This window comes from Homo sapiens, chromosome 4 (genome assembly GCF_000001405.40).
Source record: "Homo sapiens chromosome 4, GRCh38.p14 Primary Assembly".
In the NCBI taxonomy this organism is placed as follows: domain Eukaryota; kingdom Metazoa; phylum Chordata; class Mammalia; order Primates; family Hominidae; genus Homo; species Homo sapiens.
Window position 1 is genome coordinate 105,357,354 of NC_000004.12, and position 15,164 is coordinate 105,372,517.

Consider the following 15,164-nt stretch of genomic DNA (forward strand, 5'->3'; position numbering starts at 1 on the left):
GCTTTCATGGGATGGACAATTGGTTAGAGAGGATGAATCTAATCTGTGCCACAGAGTATTTGGCCAACATCAATTCCAGCTCCCACACCACCTGTTATCTTTGGAATTCTGTCTCTGTTTTAAATCATTCTTTCAATGCACATTAGAAAGAGGCACTAAGGAGTGGCAAACCTAATTTGTTGCACTTTTTGTTTTATACCATGGGAAAATATCTACACAAACAGATGCTAATATAAAGACAGTGTTTTTAATAGAATGGTTGGTTTATGTTCCTCCCATTTGTTCAAAGTACTAACACATCATTAACATTCAACACTGAAAAACTTAGATTGACACACACTTTTATTGTCCAACATAAGTGTTAAGGGAAAGACAGCCACAGATTTGCATTCATCTCTTTCCTGTTCCCAGCATAGGATACTAGGAGCCACAGATTGGAAACATTCCAAGGATGAGCAAAAAGAGCTTACTGTTGGACTCATACATAATAATTAAACATAATTTTGCCCAAAAAAGTTGCTGTGAGTCAATCACAAGTAATATTTTAAAATTTAAAATGTTAAGTCACACAGTATTCCTGAATTTACATTTGATCTTTAATTCATAGTCACATTTACAAGCAATATTATCAGGTTGGGCAGTGGTAAAAATCAAATTATGGTTTGAGAGTCTACCAACTTCTTATTACAAAAAAAGATCTCTGTATGAAGAATATTATTTTGTATTAAAACTATCAGTTTTAAACAGCTGTCAGTCAGAAAGAAATTTACAGCAAAGAATAGTAAATGATGTATATCTTCTTTTCCTTAGTCAGGACAACACAATAATTTTTAACCACATACAGTATGAAGGGGCAAATAATTATGTTTCTACATTAAAGGAGGCAAAGTACACAAGAAAGCATGACAAAAAGCAAAAGCAAAAATAAAACAAGTTTAGATTAAGATCTAGTTTCAAGCCAGTCCCCATCACTTGCTAGTCATGTGGCTTTAAAAAATTAACCTCTGTAGATTCTACATTCCTCTTCCAATAAGCAAGATTCTTTCCAGTTCACAAAGTTCTAAATTCGAAATCCTCCTTCAGATTCAGAAAAGCAACCTACAGTCTATAGCTGTTGTACTTTCTGCAGATTTCTGTATTAAATAAAATCTATCTGTAAATGGTTAAGTATATTCTAGAGACAAATTAACAGACATTAATGTAAATTACATTAATAGTACTTTGTTTTGTGGGGCAAGATACAAGCTGGAGTAGGTATTGGTAAAAATGAAATTATGGTTTGAGAGCCTACCAAGAGTTCTAAAATCTTAATAAATCAAGAGTTTTAAAAATTTTCTTAAAAAACTAAAGAAAATGAGAAGTCAAAGGAATGACATGTGATGTTATAGAAGGAAAAGGAAAAAAATTAACTTTTCTTTGAGAAAAATATCCCCTAAAACATAGTAGTTTCGAGTAAGTGGGGTTTTAAGTGCAACAGGTGACCTTTAAACTATTTTTCATGAGAGTGTATCAACTGAACTAATTTATATTACATCCAGGTGGATTACGTTTTTCTCATTTTCACTATATATTATTCTTATTTGTTCTACCACTCTCTTCACATTATTTAGGTCTTCTATGACTGTGGTCAAATCATGGTATTTCTCATCAGAAAATCAAAATATGTTACTGCTACTTTCAAGTTCAGGAGGTCAAGTTTCAAACATGGAAGTGAGAGGTGAAGCCACTGGGCTTCTGGGTTGGTGGAGACTTGGAGAACTTTTCTGTCTAGCTAAAGGATTGTAAACACACCAATCAGTGCTCTGTGTCTAGCTAAAGGTTTGTAAACGCACCAATCAGCACTCTGTAAAAATGCACCAATCAGTGCTCTGTGTCTAGCTAAAGATTTGTAAACGCAGCAATCAGCACTCTGTAAAAATGGACTAATCAGCACTCTGTAAAATGGACCAATCAGCAGGACGTGGGTGGGGCCAAATAAGGGAATAAAAGCTGGCCACCCGAGCCAGCAGCAGCAACCTGTGGGTCCCCTTCCAGGCTGTGGAAGCTTTCTTTTTTTGCTCTTCATAATAAATCTTGCTGCTACTCACTCTTTGGATCCACACCACCATTATGAGCTGTAACACTCACTGCGAAGGTCTGCGACTTTACTTCTGAAGTCAGCGAAACCATGAACCCACCGGTTGGAACAAACAACTCTGCACACGCCACCTTTAAGAGCTGTAACACTCACTTGCAAAGGTCTGTGGCTTCACTCCTGAAGTCAGCAAGACCATGAACTCACCGGAAGGAAGAAACTCCAGACACATCTGAACATCTGAAGTAACAAACTCTGGACACACCATCTTTAAGAACTGTAACACTCACTGTGAGGGTCCACAGCTTCATTCTTGAAGTCAGCAAGACCAAGAACCCACCAGAAGGAATAAATTCTGGACACAGAAGTTAATATCAATAATTACACAAAAACCCATATAAGAAGTCACTCTGGAACAAGATTTTTAGCCTTTGAGCCCTGAGTCTATTTTTATTGTTAAGTATTTCATGTTTATTTTTTTCTCATCCTCTACAAAAAAGCAGCAGTAAACATGTGATGACCAGCCCTTTGTCAGTTAAACTTTTTCCCCTGGGGCATTAGAGGAATTTTGTATGAGAACTCTCAAAATGCCTTACATACTGCTACGACTAAGATGTTACCCAGAGAATCTTACTTTCTTGGTATCATTTATTCACTTTGGGGAAAAAAAAAGCAACCCATAACTGGTAACACTAATCATTGTTTCAGAAAACACAAAACATTCTAGGCTGCATTAAAAGGTATATAGAATGCATAAATAAAGAGGTACTGGTTTTTGTTTTGACATGAGGCAAATCTTTACTATATTCATTTGGAGGCTCCATAGCAAACAACATAATAAAATAATTTAGAAAGGACTTTAAGTAAAAATCTCAATGATTAGTAGAATTTTAGGAGGCAAGAATTATGCAAAAAGTTAATTTATTATAAAATTTATTTCTATTTTGAAAAGAAATGTATTACTTTTTATACCGTAAGATTTATGAGAAGCTCTCTGAATACAATGATCAGGTACATATATGTTAAAAGTAAGCTAAATTTTAAAAACCTGGTATTTAAGTTAGATATGTTAAGTCTCCTTTTTTGGAGATCCTTAAAACAAATATATTCTTTTATTTCAAAGATATTACATGGGCTTTTGGAACAGAGCAGAGAGACACCCCTCAAAGTGCTTTCAAATGCAGTATTAGAATGCTGACAAGATGCAGAAGGCCTGTGATTTCCAGGAATCCACTTAACTTCTCTCTAAACTTTACTTAATGCAGTAAGTAAAGTGGAAAGAATATTTGTTTTCCTCACAGGATGTTGTATCTATTAAATTCAATAAACATGAACTGTTAATGTGCAAAACAATAATGCCAACATTGTCATAAAACAATCTGTGTTCTCAGTGAGTTTATAATCTAGTAAAAGAGATAATATGAACAATTCTAATACAAGTCAGAATGACCTAAAGACTATAATGGAGGAATAAATATATAGTGCTATTCACCTCTCACAGAAAAGAAAATAATTGATTTCAATGTGAAGGGCTGGGGACAGAAAAGGCTGCATTTGAGCTGGACTTTGAGGATAAGTAACAGTTCAAGAAGCAACACGATAAGAGTGAAAGGGACATTAATCCTTGAATCAAAAGCCAGAGCTCTTTTCTACTTCTGCCTCTACCACTCACTAGAAACTAGCAGGAATCCCTTGCACAGAAGAGGCTGTGAGCATGTGGTCTTGTCTGAGTTGCTGTTGTTCACACAAGAAGGGACAGCTCAGTCTACTTGCTGATTTCACAGTAGGCTCAGCTGTTTCTGTCCACCTGTGGACAGAATGCTCCTGATGCATGAGATTCTGGCCTGAATCCTAGTATTCATGTTCTACTCTCCAACTGGGGAGAATTCCTGCATTAGGATGGTAATCCCTGGTCTTGCCAACTACTAAGTTCTCCTAGAAGGCTACAGATGCAAATCAGCCATCCAATTTTAGCTGCTTTAATTAGGTAAGACTCATTGTTTGGCATTCTGCATGATTCCTTTCAAAACTGTACTGGTACTACTATTTAGCCATTTTCAATTTACAGTGTTATTAAAAGCTTAAACATTTTTATCTTATTTTCATTTTTAACCTTTAAAGAGAACAGGAAGCAATAACATAATAGGGACAGTCCTACAGCTAGTCCTGCCTCAAGCAGAGAAAATTAGTATATTCCCACCCTGGCTTCCTTAGTTAGCTTGGCATAATATTTTCAAGGCTGAAATTTAGATTTCTGACTTAAAAGTGGGCTAATCTCTTTAAACTTGGATCCAGTATTGAGGATCCAAACTTAGCACCTAGAACTAAGGAATACCATTATAATTGATAAAAACATTAAGATCCAGTGGATAAACTGGCAAAGAAAAGACAAAGGACATTCATAGAAAACATCATGACTAGTAAATATGTAGGGAAAAAAATTAAACCTATTAAGAAGACCATAACAATAATAAAATATTCTATCCTGGGAAGAATAGGAAAGAAGAAACTAGAAATCTCATATATTGCCGGTGGCAATATACCTTGGAATAAGCCTTACAAAAACCTATTTGGCTATAAAATGTTCTCTATTTCCACCTTAGGAAATTTATAGAAATCTCATAATCTTCTGGTTTCCATCCCTGCTCCTGCCCCCAGCACAATCGGTTTTCAAAACCACAGTGGGAATGATCTGCTTCTTTGTTCAAGACCCTCCAGTGGCTTCTCATTTAACCAGGGTAAAAGGGCAAGTCCTTAGATGACCCATAGGCCCCATGTGTTTCCCTGCTCCCTCTTGGGCCTCATCTCTGCTTCTCTTCCCTGCTCCCTACACTCCAGCCACACAAGCCTCCTTGCTGTTCTTGGAACAAACCAGCTGCACTCCTGCCTTAGGACTTTTGCTCTTGGCATTGCTACTTCAATGCTCCAGACCCACATGGGCTCAGTCCTGCTTCCCTTCACCACTTTGCTCAGTTGTTATCTTCCCAGTGAGGCCTGCCTTGACCTACTCAATTCAAAATTTCAATTTGCTGCTCTTACCCTTGAACTCAACCTGGATTCCCAATTTCTCCTTACTCTGTTTTTCCTTTTACATATTAGACAAATTATTTATTATGTTTATGATATGTCTTCCCCACACAAAATGCAAGTTTTACAACAGCAGGGATTTTGTCTGTTTTGTACTCATGCACGCTAAAAACGTAAAATAATAGCACCTGGCACATACACATAGGCAGTCAATAAGTAATGGTTGAATGAATTATAGAAAAACGTAAATGAGAAATCATGTCTAAAACAGCAGACTTGCTAATTAAAATCACTGTAGTGGCATGGCTTCTGGATGGATCCCTCTTATCTTTCTGCCTGATTCAATCTTTTGCGGCCAGGTACTCAAAAGAGGAGAAAGAGCCCCAACTATCTATATATTGGGTATTCTTGAATGGAGAAGCAACGTTGACATTTTTGCTCTCGGGGTGAACAAGGATCCTTTTAGAGTCTTGTTTACTAGTCATAGTATAGAGGGGCATAATTTGAGAAGGGGAGTCTGCTCTTAACAGGTCATCAGAACAGGGTAAGTGTCAGGTCAACCACAGAAACCTTGATCTGTGGCTAGGACTCGCACATTTTACAAAGCTCTTCTATTTTCTGTGGCCACCACTGTCCCCTCCCACCCATTAAAGCAGAGCTACTTCTTCACTATTCTAACTCCTCCAAAGCTGCCACATCAGAAGCAGAGGCTTATCCCTCATTGCGTTCTAGGAAGACATAAGTCTACATGTGGGGCTGATACTTTAACACAGTTTGCTAACTTAGATAACAAGTTATTCTCATCAAGTAAATTTTTAAGTTTTAACCCAAACCACATTTAATGTTTAATACTAAACTTAGAGTAACTTTTACTCCTTTTTTTTTCTAACAGGAGGTAATAATAATATTCTATGTATGAATCCACTACACAGGCAGACACCTCATTTTTTTTCTCCTCTTCTTGGTGGGGAGATAAACTCAAACAGAACATTAACACTGAAAAATTCCCAATATGATCTATCCTGTGAATATCTAAGTCTAATCTAAGACTCATGGGGGAAATGAAAAATGATTGTGGCTCTACCCCAGAAATTCTGATGAATAGATCTTTAGGGAACACCAGGAATTTGTACTTTAAGAAGCATTCTTGGTGATTTTGATGCTGGTGTTTCATACAGCCCACTGGTAAAACAGAATATGGAAAGAAGGATGAAAATAATAGAAGCCAACAGGAATTTAAAGATTTGATTCACCATGTAAGACATTATAAGACAGTATAATGAGTAAAGATAAACTAGTAGTGGCAAGACATACCTTGACCTATGGCAAGACAATGATGCCCCTTCTGAAACTAAATCATCATATTATTAATAAGCATATAAGCTGCTAAAAAGGCATGTAGTCATTGGTGGAGGAACAGACTTTAAGTGCTCCTCTGTAGACTGAAGAAATGCTACTAAATATATCGTATATGAAATGTTTGTCTTATGTGAAAAATAAATGAAAGCTCATAAAAATTTCAGATTTTGTACTTATAGCAAGTTTGAGAGTGATTCTTGGATAGTCCACCCCCTTTACTTTTTCACATCCATGGGAACTGGCTGTGGGTATTACCTAAAATTGCATCTATGGATCAATTTTAGTTTCCTAATTTGTTTTAGGCAGTTTTAACAATAATTCACTCTGAATTTTCCCAGTAGTTTTCCTTTGTAAGTATTTAGTATAATGTCTATTCAATTTGTTTCATGGGATTGGACTGGCAAAAATTAAATTAGCTAGTATGGAAGACATTCTGAAACAATCATGAAAGAGCCACATTGTCATCATAATAATAGTGATGACTATGTAGCAACATAGAAAGATGCCTATAATTTTAAAAATTTCAAAATTATATACTAAGATTATAATTACATAACATCACACACTATGAAGATAATCATTAACTGGACTAATGTAGACAGATGGTATATTAGTTTGTTTTTGTGTTGCTATAAAGAAATACCTGAGGCTGGGTAATTTATAAAGAGGTTTATTTTGGCTCACAGTTCTGCAGGCTGTATAAGCACAGTACCAACATCTGCTCGGCTTCTGGTGAGGGCCTCAGGAAGCTTACATCATGGTAGAAGGCAAAAGGGGAGCAGGTGTGTCACATGGCAAGAGAGCAGGCAAGAGAGGGTGGGTGCAAGAGAGCAAGAATGGGAGTTGCCAGGCTCTCTCATGTGAGCTCTCGTGTGAGCTATCAGAGTAAGTGATATGGCCTGGCTTTGTGTCCCCACCCAAATCTCATAATGATTTGTAATCCAAGTTGTAATCCCCATGTGTTGAGGGAGGGGCTTGTGGGAGGTAATTTGATCATGGAGGTGGTTTCTCCATGCTGTTCTCCTGGTAATGAGTGAGTTCTCATGAGATCTGATGATTTTATAAGGGGTTTTTCTCCCTTTCGCTCTGCACTTTTCTCTCCTGCCGCCATGTAAAGAAGGATGTGTTTGCTTCCCCTTCTGTCACAATTGTAAGTTTCCTGAGGCCTCCCTAGCCATGTGGAATGGTGAATCAACTAAATCTCTTTCATTTATAAGTTACCCAGGCTCAGGCAGTTCTTTTTTTTTTTTTTTTTTTTTTTTTTGAGACGGAGTTTTGCTGTTCCCCAGGCTGGAGTGCAGTGGTGCTATCTCGGCTCACTGCAAGCTCCGCCCCCCGGGGTTCACGCCATTCTCCTGCCTCAGCCTCCCAAGTAGCTGAGACTACAGGTGCCTGCCACCTTGCCCGGCTAATTTTTTGTATTTTAGTAGAGACGAGGTTTCACCATGTTAGCCAGGATGGTCTCAATCTCCTGACCTCGTGATCCACCCGCCTCGGCCTCCCAAAGTGCTGGGATTACAGATGTGAGCCACCACGCCCGGTCGGCAGTTCTTTATAGCAGCATGAGAATGGACTAATATAGTACATTGAGTGGAGTGCTGCTATAAAGAGACCCAAAAATGTAGAAGCAACTTTGGAACTGGGTAACAAGCAGAGGTTGAAAGTTTGGAGGGCTCAGAAGAAGACAGGAAGGTGTGGGAAAGTTTGGAACTTCCTAGAGACTTGTTGAATGGTTTTGACCAAAATGCTAATAGTGATATGGACAATGAAGTCCAGGCTGAGTTGGTTTCAGATGGAGATGAGTAACTTCTTGGGAACTGGAGCAAAGGTGACTCTTGCTATGCCTTAGCAAAGAGACTGGTGGCATTGTGCACCTGCCCTAGAGATCTGTAGAACTCTGAACTTGAGAGAGATTATTTAGGGTATCTGGCAGAAGAAATTTCTAAGTGGTAAAGCATTCAAGAGGAAGCAGAACACGAAAGTTTGGAAAATTTGTAGCCTAATGATGCACAAAGAAAAACCCATTTTCTGGGGAGAAATTCAATCCTGCTGCAGAATTTGCTTAAATAACAAGGAGATGAATGTTAATCACGAAGACAATGGGGAAAATCTCTCCAGGGCATGTCAGAGACCTTCAGAGCAGCCCCTCCAATCACAGGCCTGGAGGACTAGGAAGAAAAAAGGTTTTGTGGTTTAGGCCCAGTCCCCCTTGCACTGTGCAGCCTTGGGACATGGTACCCTGCATCCCGGCTGCTCTAGCCATGGCTAAAAGGGGCCAAGGTCCAGTTAGGCCATGGCTTCAGAGGGTGCAAGCCCCAAGCCCTAATGGCTTCCATGTGGTGTTGAGCCTGGGGGTGTACAAAAGTCAAGAAGTGAGATTTGGGAAGCTCTGCCTAGATTTCAGAGGATGTATGGAAATCCCTGGATGTCCAGGTAGAAGTTTGCTGCAGGCGCAGAGCCCTCAAGGAGAACCTCTGTTAGGGCAGTACAGAAGGGAAATGTGGGTCTGGAGCTCCCACACAGAGGCTTCACTAGGGCACTGCCTAGTGGAGCTGTGAGAAGAGGGCCACCATCCTCCAGACCCCAGAATGGTAGATCCACCTACAGTTTGCAACCGTGTGCCTGGAAAAGCCACAGACACTCAATGCCAGCCCATGATGAAAGCAGCCATGAGGGGGGCTGTACCCTGCAAAGCCACAGGGGGTGGAACTGCCCAAGGCCATGGGAGCCCACCTCTTCCATCAGCATGGCCTCGATGTGAGACATCGGGTCTAAGGAGATCATTTTGGAACTTTAAGGCTCAATGACTGCCCTATTGGATTTTGGACTTGTATGGGGTCTGTAGTACCTTTATTTTGGACAATTTCTCCCACTTGAAATGGCTGTATTTACCCACTACCTGTACCCCCATTGTATCTAGGAAGTAACTAACTTGCTTTTGATTTTACAGGCTCATAGGCGGAAGGGACTTGCCTTGTCTCAGATAAGACTCTGGACTTGGACTTTGGGGTTAATGCTGGAATGAGTTAAGACTTTGGGGGACTGTTGGAAAGGCATAATTGTGTTTGAAATGTGAGAAGGAAGAGATTTGGGAGTAGCAAGGGACAGAATGATATGGCATGGCTCTGAGTCCCCACCTAAATCTCATCTTGAATTGTAATCTGAATTGTAATCCAAAAGTGTTGGAGAAGGGACCTCATGGGAGGTGATTAGATCATGGCAGCAGTTCCCTTATACTGTTCTTGTGACGGTGAGTGAGTTCTCGTGAGAGCTGATGATTTTTATAAGGGGCTTTCCCCTCTTTGCTCTGCACTTGTCTCTCTTGCCACCACGTGAAGGACATGTTTGTTTCCCTTTCCTCTGTAACTTTAAGTTTCCTGAGGTCTCCCCAGCCATGTGGAAGTCAATTAAACCTCTTTTCTTTATAAATTACCCAGTCTCAGGCGGTTCTTTATAGCAGCATGAAAATGGACTAATACAGAGAGAACTTACTCATTACCAAAGAGATTACATTTCACCATGAGATTTGGAGCGGACAAAACATCTAAACCATATCAAATGGATTTACCTCCCTAGCAAGGCTCACTAGGTAGCATCTGAGTACTACTGACTGCTAGAAGGAGAGGGGGAAAAATACTAGGTGTGCCTTGCCCCACAAGAGGACCACCAGACATAGCTTACCTCTTCCAACTTCTGAGAGACTAACATGTCACATGCCATAAATCCACTATCTATCTCTTGATAATTCCAGCTAACTTGTTACAACTATTGCAATAATAGTACTCTATTTTCTACCTTTCTACAAGTTTTATTTTCACAATTTAAACAATATATCTATAAAAGTAAAAAGAATTCACTCTTCTCTTACACTCTTTGTTGTCCCTCAAAGAGGTTCATACATGACCAAAGACACTTCAACAGAATATTTACTCCTGGAATAATCATTTAAACTCTCTGTGCCTGTTTTCTTGTCTATAAAATAGAGGAGAGCTCTGAGCTTTGCCTACATTACAAGGCGGTTGTATGCGAGAAACTGAATGCATAGAAGGATGGAAAAACCATAGGATTTACAGCACAGAGTAATGGGCTCTATGTAATCCTGGCTCTGAAACTGAACTCGCTGTGTGACCTTGGGCAAGTTATAGAACTTCTCAAGTACAGGCATATAGGGTATTATGTACACATAGTATCCAAAACAGTGCTTGATATACAATAGGTGCTCAATAAATAATAACCTGTTATCAAAACAGTCTTTTGTAAACCACAAAGCACTATAAATGCAATTTGTTAATGATGATATATAGAAAAAGGGAGAAAAAGTAGTGAACAAAACTGGTAAGACAGAAGTGCAGTATTTGGAGTGTGAGTATAAGATATGTTTGAGGAGTGAGTAGCATTGCATGGCTGTAGGATGGGTTTCCTGACAAAAGGAAAGAGTCTGATTTTTATTGTCAAGAATATAGAAAACTATGCATAGAGAGCATTTTGAGAAAAATATAACAAGATAGGATCTATGCTGTAAGAAAATCACTGTTTAGAAATGTGGAAGATGGTATGAAGGGAGAAAAACTGGAGGCAAGACAACCACTTGGTTAGGAGGTAAGAGTGCATGATACTGAGCATGGGGATGAGGCAGAGGGGCTGGATCTCAGAGTCATGGAGAAGAGATAGGAGCCTGTTAACAAGAGTCTAGTGAAGTAAGGGAAAACTCAAGAGAGTAGGGATGTCAACAAATGAGGACAACAAATAACCATTTAGATCATCTTCATGAATAAAGAGAAGTTCCATAAGATTTCAAGGCTTCAAGTGGAAGATTTAGAGAAAGTCAATTCCATTGTTCAAGAATAAGGAGAAAGGAGCATATGTGTAAGTGAAGATGAATTCAGGTTTGGACAAGAGAAGTCAAAGGCATTTAAACTGATGACCAATAGGTAGACACCAGAAAGAGACCTGGGCTGCTTATGGAGATTTGGGAGTCATCGTTATAGAGGTCACCATCATAGAGGGAGTAGTCACTACAGAGTGTCATCCTGTAGAGATGATGAGGGTCATCCCCAGAGTCATCACCATAAGGGGAATGAATGAGAATCAAAAAGAGATTAGGATTTCCAAAACAATAAATTACAGGAAGGAGCCTTAATAAATGTAACACATTTACACAGGCACTAATAAGAGAGTAGAGGTTGGCCAAATATTTAAAGCCTCTACCAGCAATGGACTTGAAAAGGAATAATATAGTATGAAAATGAAAGTAACAGTTGTCTACACAAAGTTTATTAATTTATTGAATCTGTGATTTTTACATCCAATCTACAGAAATAAAAACTGGTAAAATCAATGGGTTCCTTCAGGTATAGAAACTAGAAATGGTCAACTCAATGCCTCTAAATTTGTGCTATGAAATGAAACAAAATCTTTTTTTTTTTTTTGAGACGGAGTCTCTCTCTGTCGCCTAGGCTGGAGTGCAGTGGCACAATCTCTGCTCACTGCAACCTCTGCCTCCTGGGCTCAAGCAGTTCTTCTGCCTCAGCCTCCTGAGTAGCTGGGTCTACAGGCATGCACCACCACGCCTGGCTAATTTTTGTATTTTTAATAGAGATGGGGTTTCAACATACTGGCCAGGCTGGTCTTGAACTCCTGACCTTGTGATCTGCCCACCTCGGCCTCCCAAAGTGCTGAAATTACAGGCATGAGCCACCGTGCCTGGCCAAAATCTTCTTTTTATATCAATAAATGTCCAAAGGAGAGTAATTTAAAATTCTTACTGTTTATTTATATATTGCATAGCTCAAAAAGTTTGAAAAAATGAAGTTTTAACAGGAAGTCAGTAAATGCTCATAGACCCCCTTGTCTCTAGCACTTGGAGTCCTTAGAGATGGGAATCTTGACAGCAGAATTTCAGATGTTTCAATCACTTGCCAAGGAAGTGCCACACTTGCTCTGCATTTAAAATGGGGAAAGAGGGTATTAGGGAAGGGATAAGAGGAGGGAGAAGGGAGTGATTAATCAAATTTAATTTCGACTTTTAGGAAGTATTTAGGCAGATACAAACAGTCATAAGCTATCTAAAGTTGCATTTCTCTATTTAAAGCTATTTCCCTTCAAACTTTCGTCCCAAGTTCTCTCATTTGGCCCAAGCCTTATATAAAGCTACATTAAAAATTCTAGAGCCTTCCTACTTTATTTCTTGTATCTTTCTGGGTCATTTTAGTCTCTAGCAGACAACATAGAAGTGCTATAATATGAAAGGTTTAGATAAAGCTTGTATTGTAAAATTTGACTACACAAAAAATGCCCCAAATGGGATAGTATCGCAAAGAAACAATTTGTTAGCTTACCATATAAGGAATACAGTTTGCTTTCCCATGAAATCATGTCTATGGATTTACTCCTTTCTAAACATGTCATACTTGACTCACAGTAAATAGTTCTCATATTTCTTCCAAATCTGCAAGTTGAATGTTCTTCTAATATTTTATATTAAAACAAAAAGCCAAAATCTTGCAATATTTTGAAAGACAAATGATGTGTGCACATGCTTAAATTCTGAAAATTCACTACAGAGCATTTTTACTTGTTTATTAAAACAGCTTCAAATAATGGTAATAAAAATATTATATTTATTTTTAATTCTATAACTATAGATTTTAAGATCTTCAGCTAAAATAAGTGATTCATTAAAAAAAGATAAATATCTAAATGTAAGAGTTTTTTTTTAATTAAATCTTTTAAAATTAAATGTATCAGAACTGGCTGGAATATCTCAGTACTTCAGCGAAAAAAAAAGTCACCGTACAATCAAATCATTTTCTAACCTAGAAAAGTAGTTAAATGCATTCTCCTTATTTTCTGAGTTAGAAAATATTTCATCTGAAATTTTAGCGACTATTTTAAAAATATTTCACTTAGCTTATACAGCTTTTCAATTTATCTATTTTATTTTTAGTTTTAGTTTTTGGCTTCCACTACTGTAAACAAATAAATTTATACATGTTACTCTTAATGAATCAAAATATACTATACCTTCTTCATTACTTTCTTTATTTGGTGAAGATGATACCTGGAAATAAAAACAGAGAAAGAATCTCTGTTACAATAAATATTTATATGTGGAAAGCGCATCCAGAAGTTTTTTCACGAAATTATAGAAGAAAGTTTACACACAATGGATCTCTAACCTGAAAAAGGTAAATATTCCCCTTTGCTTTTCATTATCATTGTTCATTCTTTCAGATAAACAAACAACAGACTTAGAGTAAAATAAAAATACTTGAAAATATTTTTTATCTTAACCCATGGAATCCACTGAAGGTCTTGCAGCTAGGAATGAGAAGAGAGGTTTTCTTTCAATGGCTTCCGCAGCTAATGTCTTGAAAGTTAAAATCAAGCACACACACACACATATTTAAATATATGTTTGTTCATGCTTGCTATAAAACACACACTTGCTAAAAAATTTATCTGTCTTCTAGAACTTTAAATTATTGTTTCTATTTATTCTGATGGCTGGGCCAAGATTCTGAGAACAGACAAGTTTGAAGAAACATTTTTATGCAATAGTTTTTTTCCCCATAATTAAGAATAATACTTTTTAGCACTCCATTGGAAGATCTATTTTCCATAAGGAAGAAGCCATAAAGATTTAGTTTAAAGAATCATTAGAATTTACATCTATGTGACCACCATCCAAGTAGAGAAATGAAACATGCCAGGCCCCTCCCCAACTATGACCCCTTCCTTCCTAGCAATAACCCTACCCTACCCTGATTTTATAACACACTTTTCAGATTTCAAATTTAATAATTAACTTCTAATTCTCTGAATTTGCTGACCTTCAATAGATAGGAAATACCTGCCTCTAGCATTTAAGTCTGAGGCAGAGGTCCAAATGTACAAATATATATCTAAATATTTAAAAGTTACAATAACTCAGGCTAACAACTGATGAATATATATATGAAATGTGTTCCATCTCACTATCTTGATACAAATACCTTTGTAATGACCTGGAAACTCTCATTTAGGATTCCAGACACCTTAGAGACATGTGTCTGGATGCAGCAGAGGAAGGAAAAGAGGCCCTCATCCTGCTCCACTTCTCTCCCTATTCCAGGCTCCTTTCTGTATTTCAAGGGCCTCATCTGCACATGGGTAATAATTTAGTAGCCCACATATCTAGGCACCTTTTACCTCCAAACAGCCACCCACCGGCCCCTGCAGAAGTAACGGTGGGTACAAAGTCCATAGAGTCAGGAGCGTGGACCTGGGGAGATGTGTAGCCTGGTTTCTACACAGGCCCCAGAAACAGGCTTAAACCTGTCTGGGCAGAGGATTCCAGGGTCCTGGGTAGCCAGGATGTGGTCTAGAATGGGGGCATGCCTCCTAGTGAGTCTAACTTTGGCCCCTTGTGGGGATGTGGTCTAGAATGGGGGCATGCCTCCTGGTGAATCTATAACTTTGGCCCCTTGGTCTTCTTGCCCTACGGTGAGATATGTGACTGAATAACGGCCAAGTATGACCCTCCAAAAAGCAGGATCTGAGGAAGGCTCTCCGTGCTTAAATCTAAGGGCAGTACTGAATAGCCACCACTCCACCAGAAGAAAGATTTATATTTCAGCAATATTAAAATATTCCCTATGATAGCTAATTTTATGTGTCAACTTGGAGGGTGTTTTTAGATGAGATTAACATTTAAACCAGTGAA

General features: G+C 38.4%; 1 protein-coding gene across 4 annotated transcripts in view; it reads right to left on the bottom strand.

The window, feature by feature from the left end:
• The window catches only part of PPA2 (inorganic pyrophosphatase 2), a 104,994-nt gene continuing 101,553 nt past the window's right edge, over positions 11,724–15,164 (bottom strand). For all 4 annotated transcript variants that reach the window (NM_176867.3, NM_176866.2, NM_006903.4 and 1 more), the window contains 2 exons: positions 13,484–13,520; positions 11,724–12,400 (listed from right to left, as the gene is read on the bottom strand). In NM_176867.3, coding sequence (NP_789843.2) covers positions 12,372–12,400; positions 13,484–13,520 — 66 coding nt within the window. In that variant the 3' untranslated portion in view covers positions 11,724–12,371. The remainder of the gene's footprint in view (positions 12,401–13,483; positions 13,521–15,164) is intronic.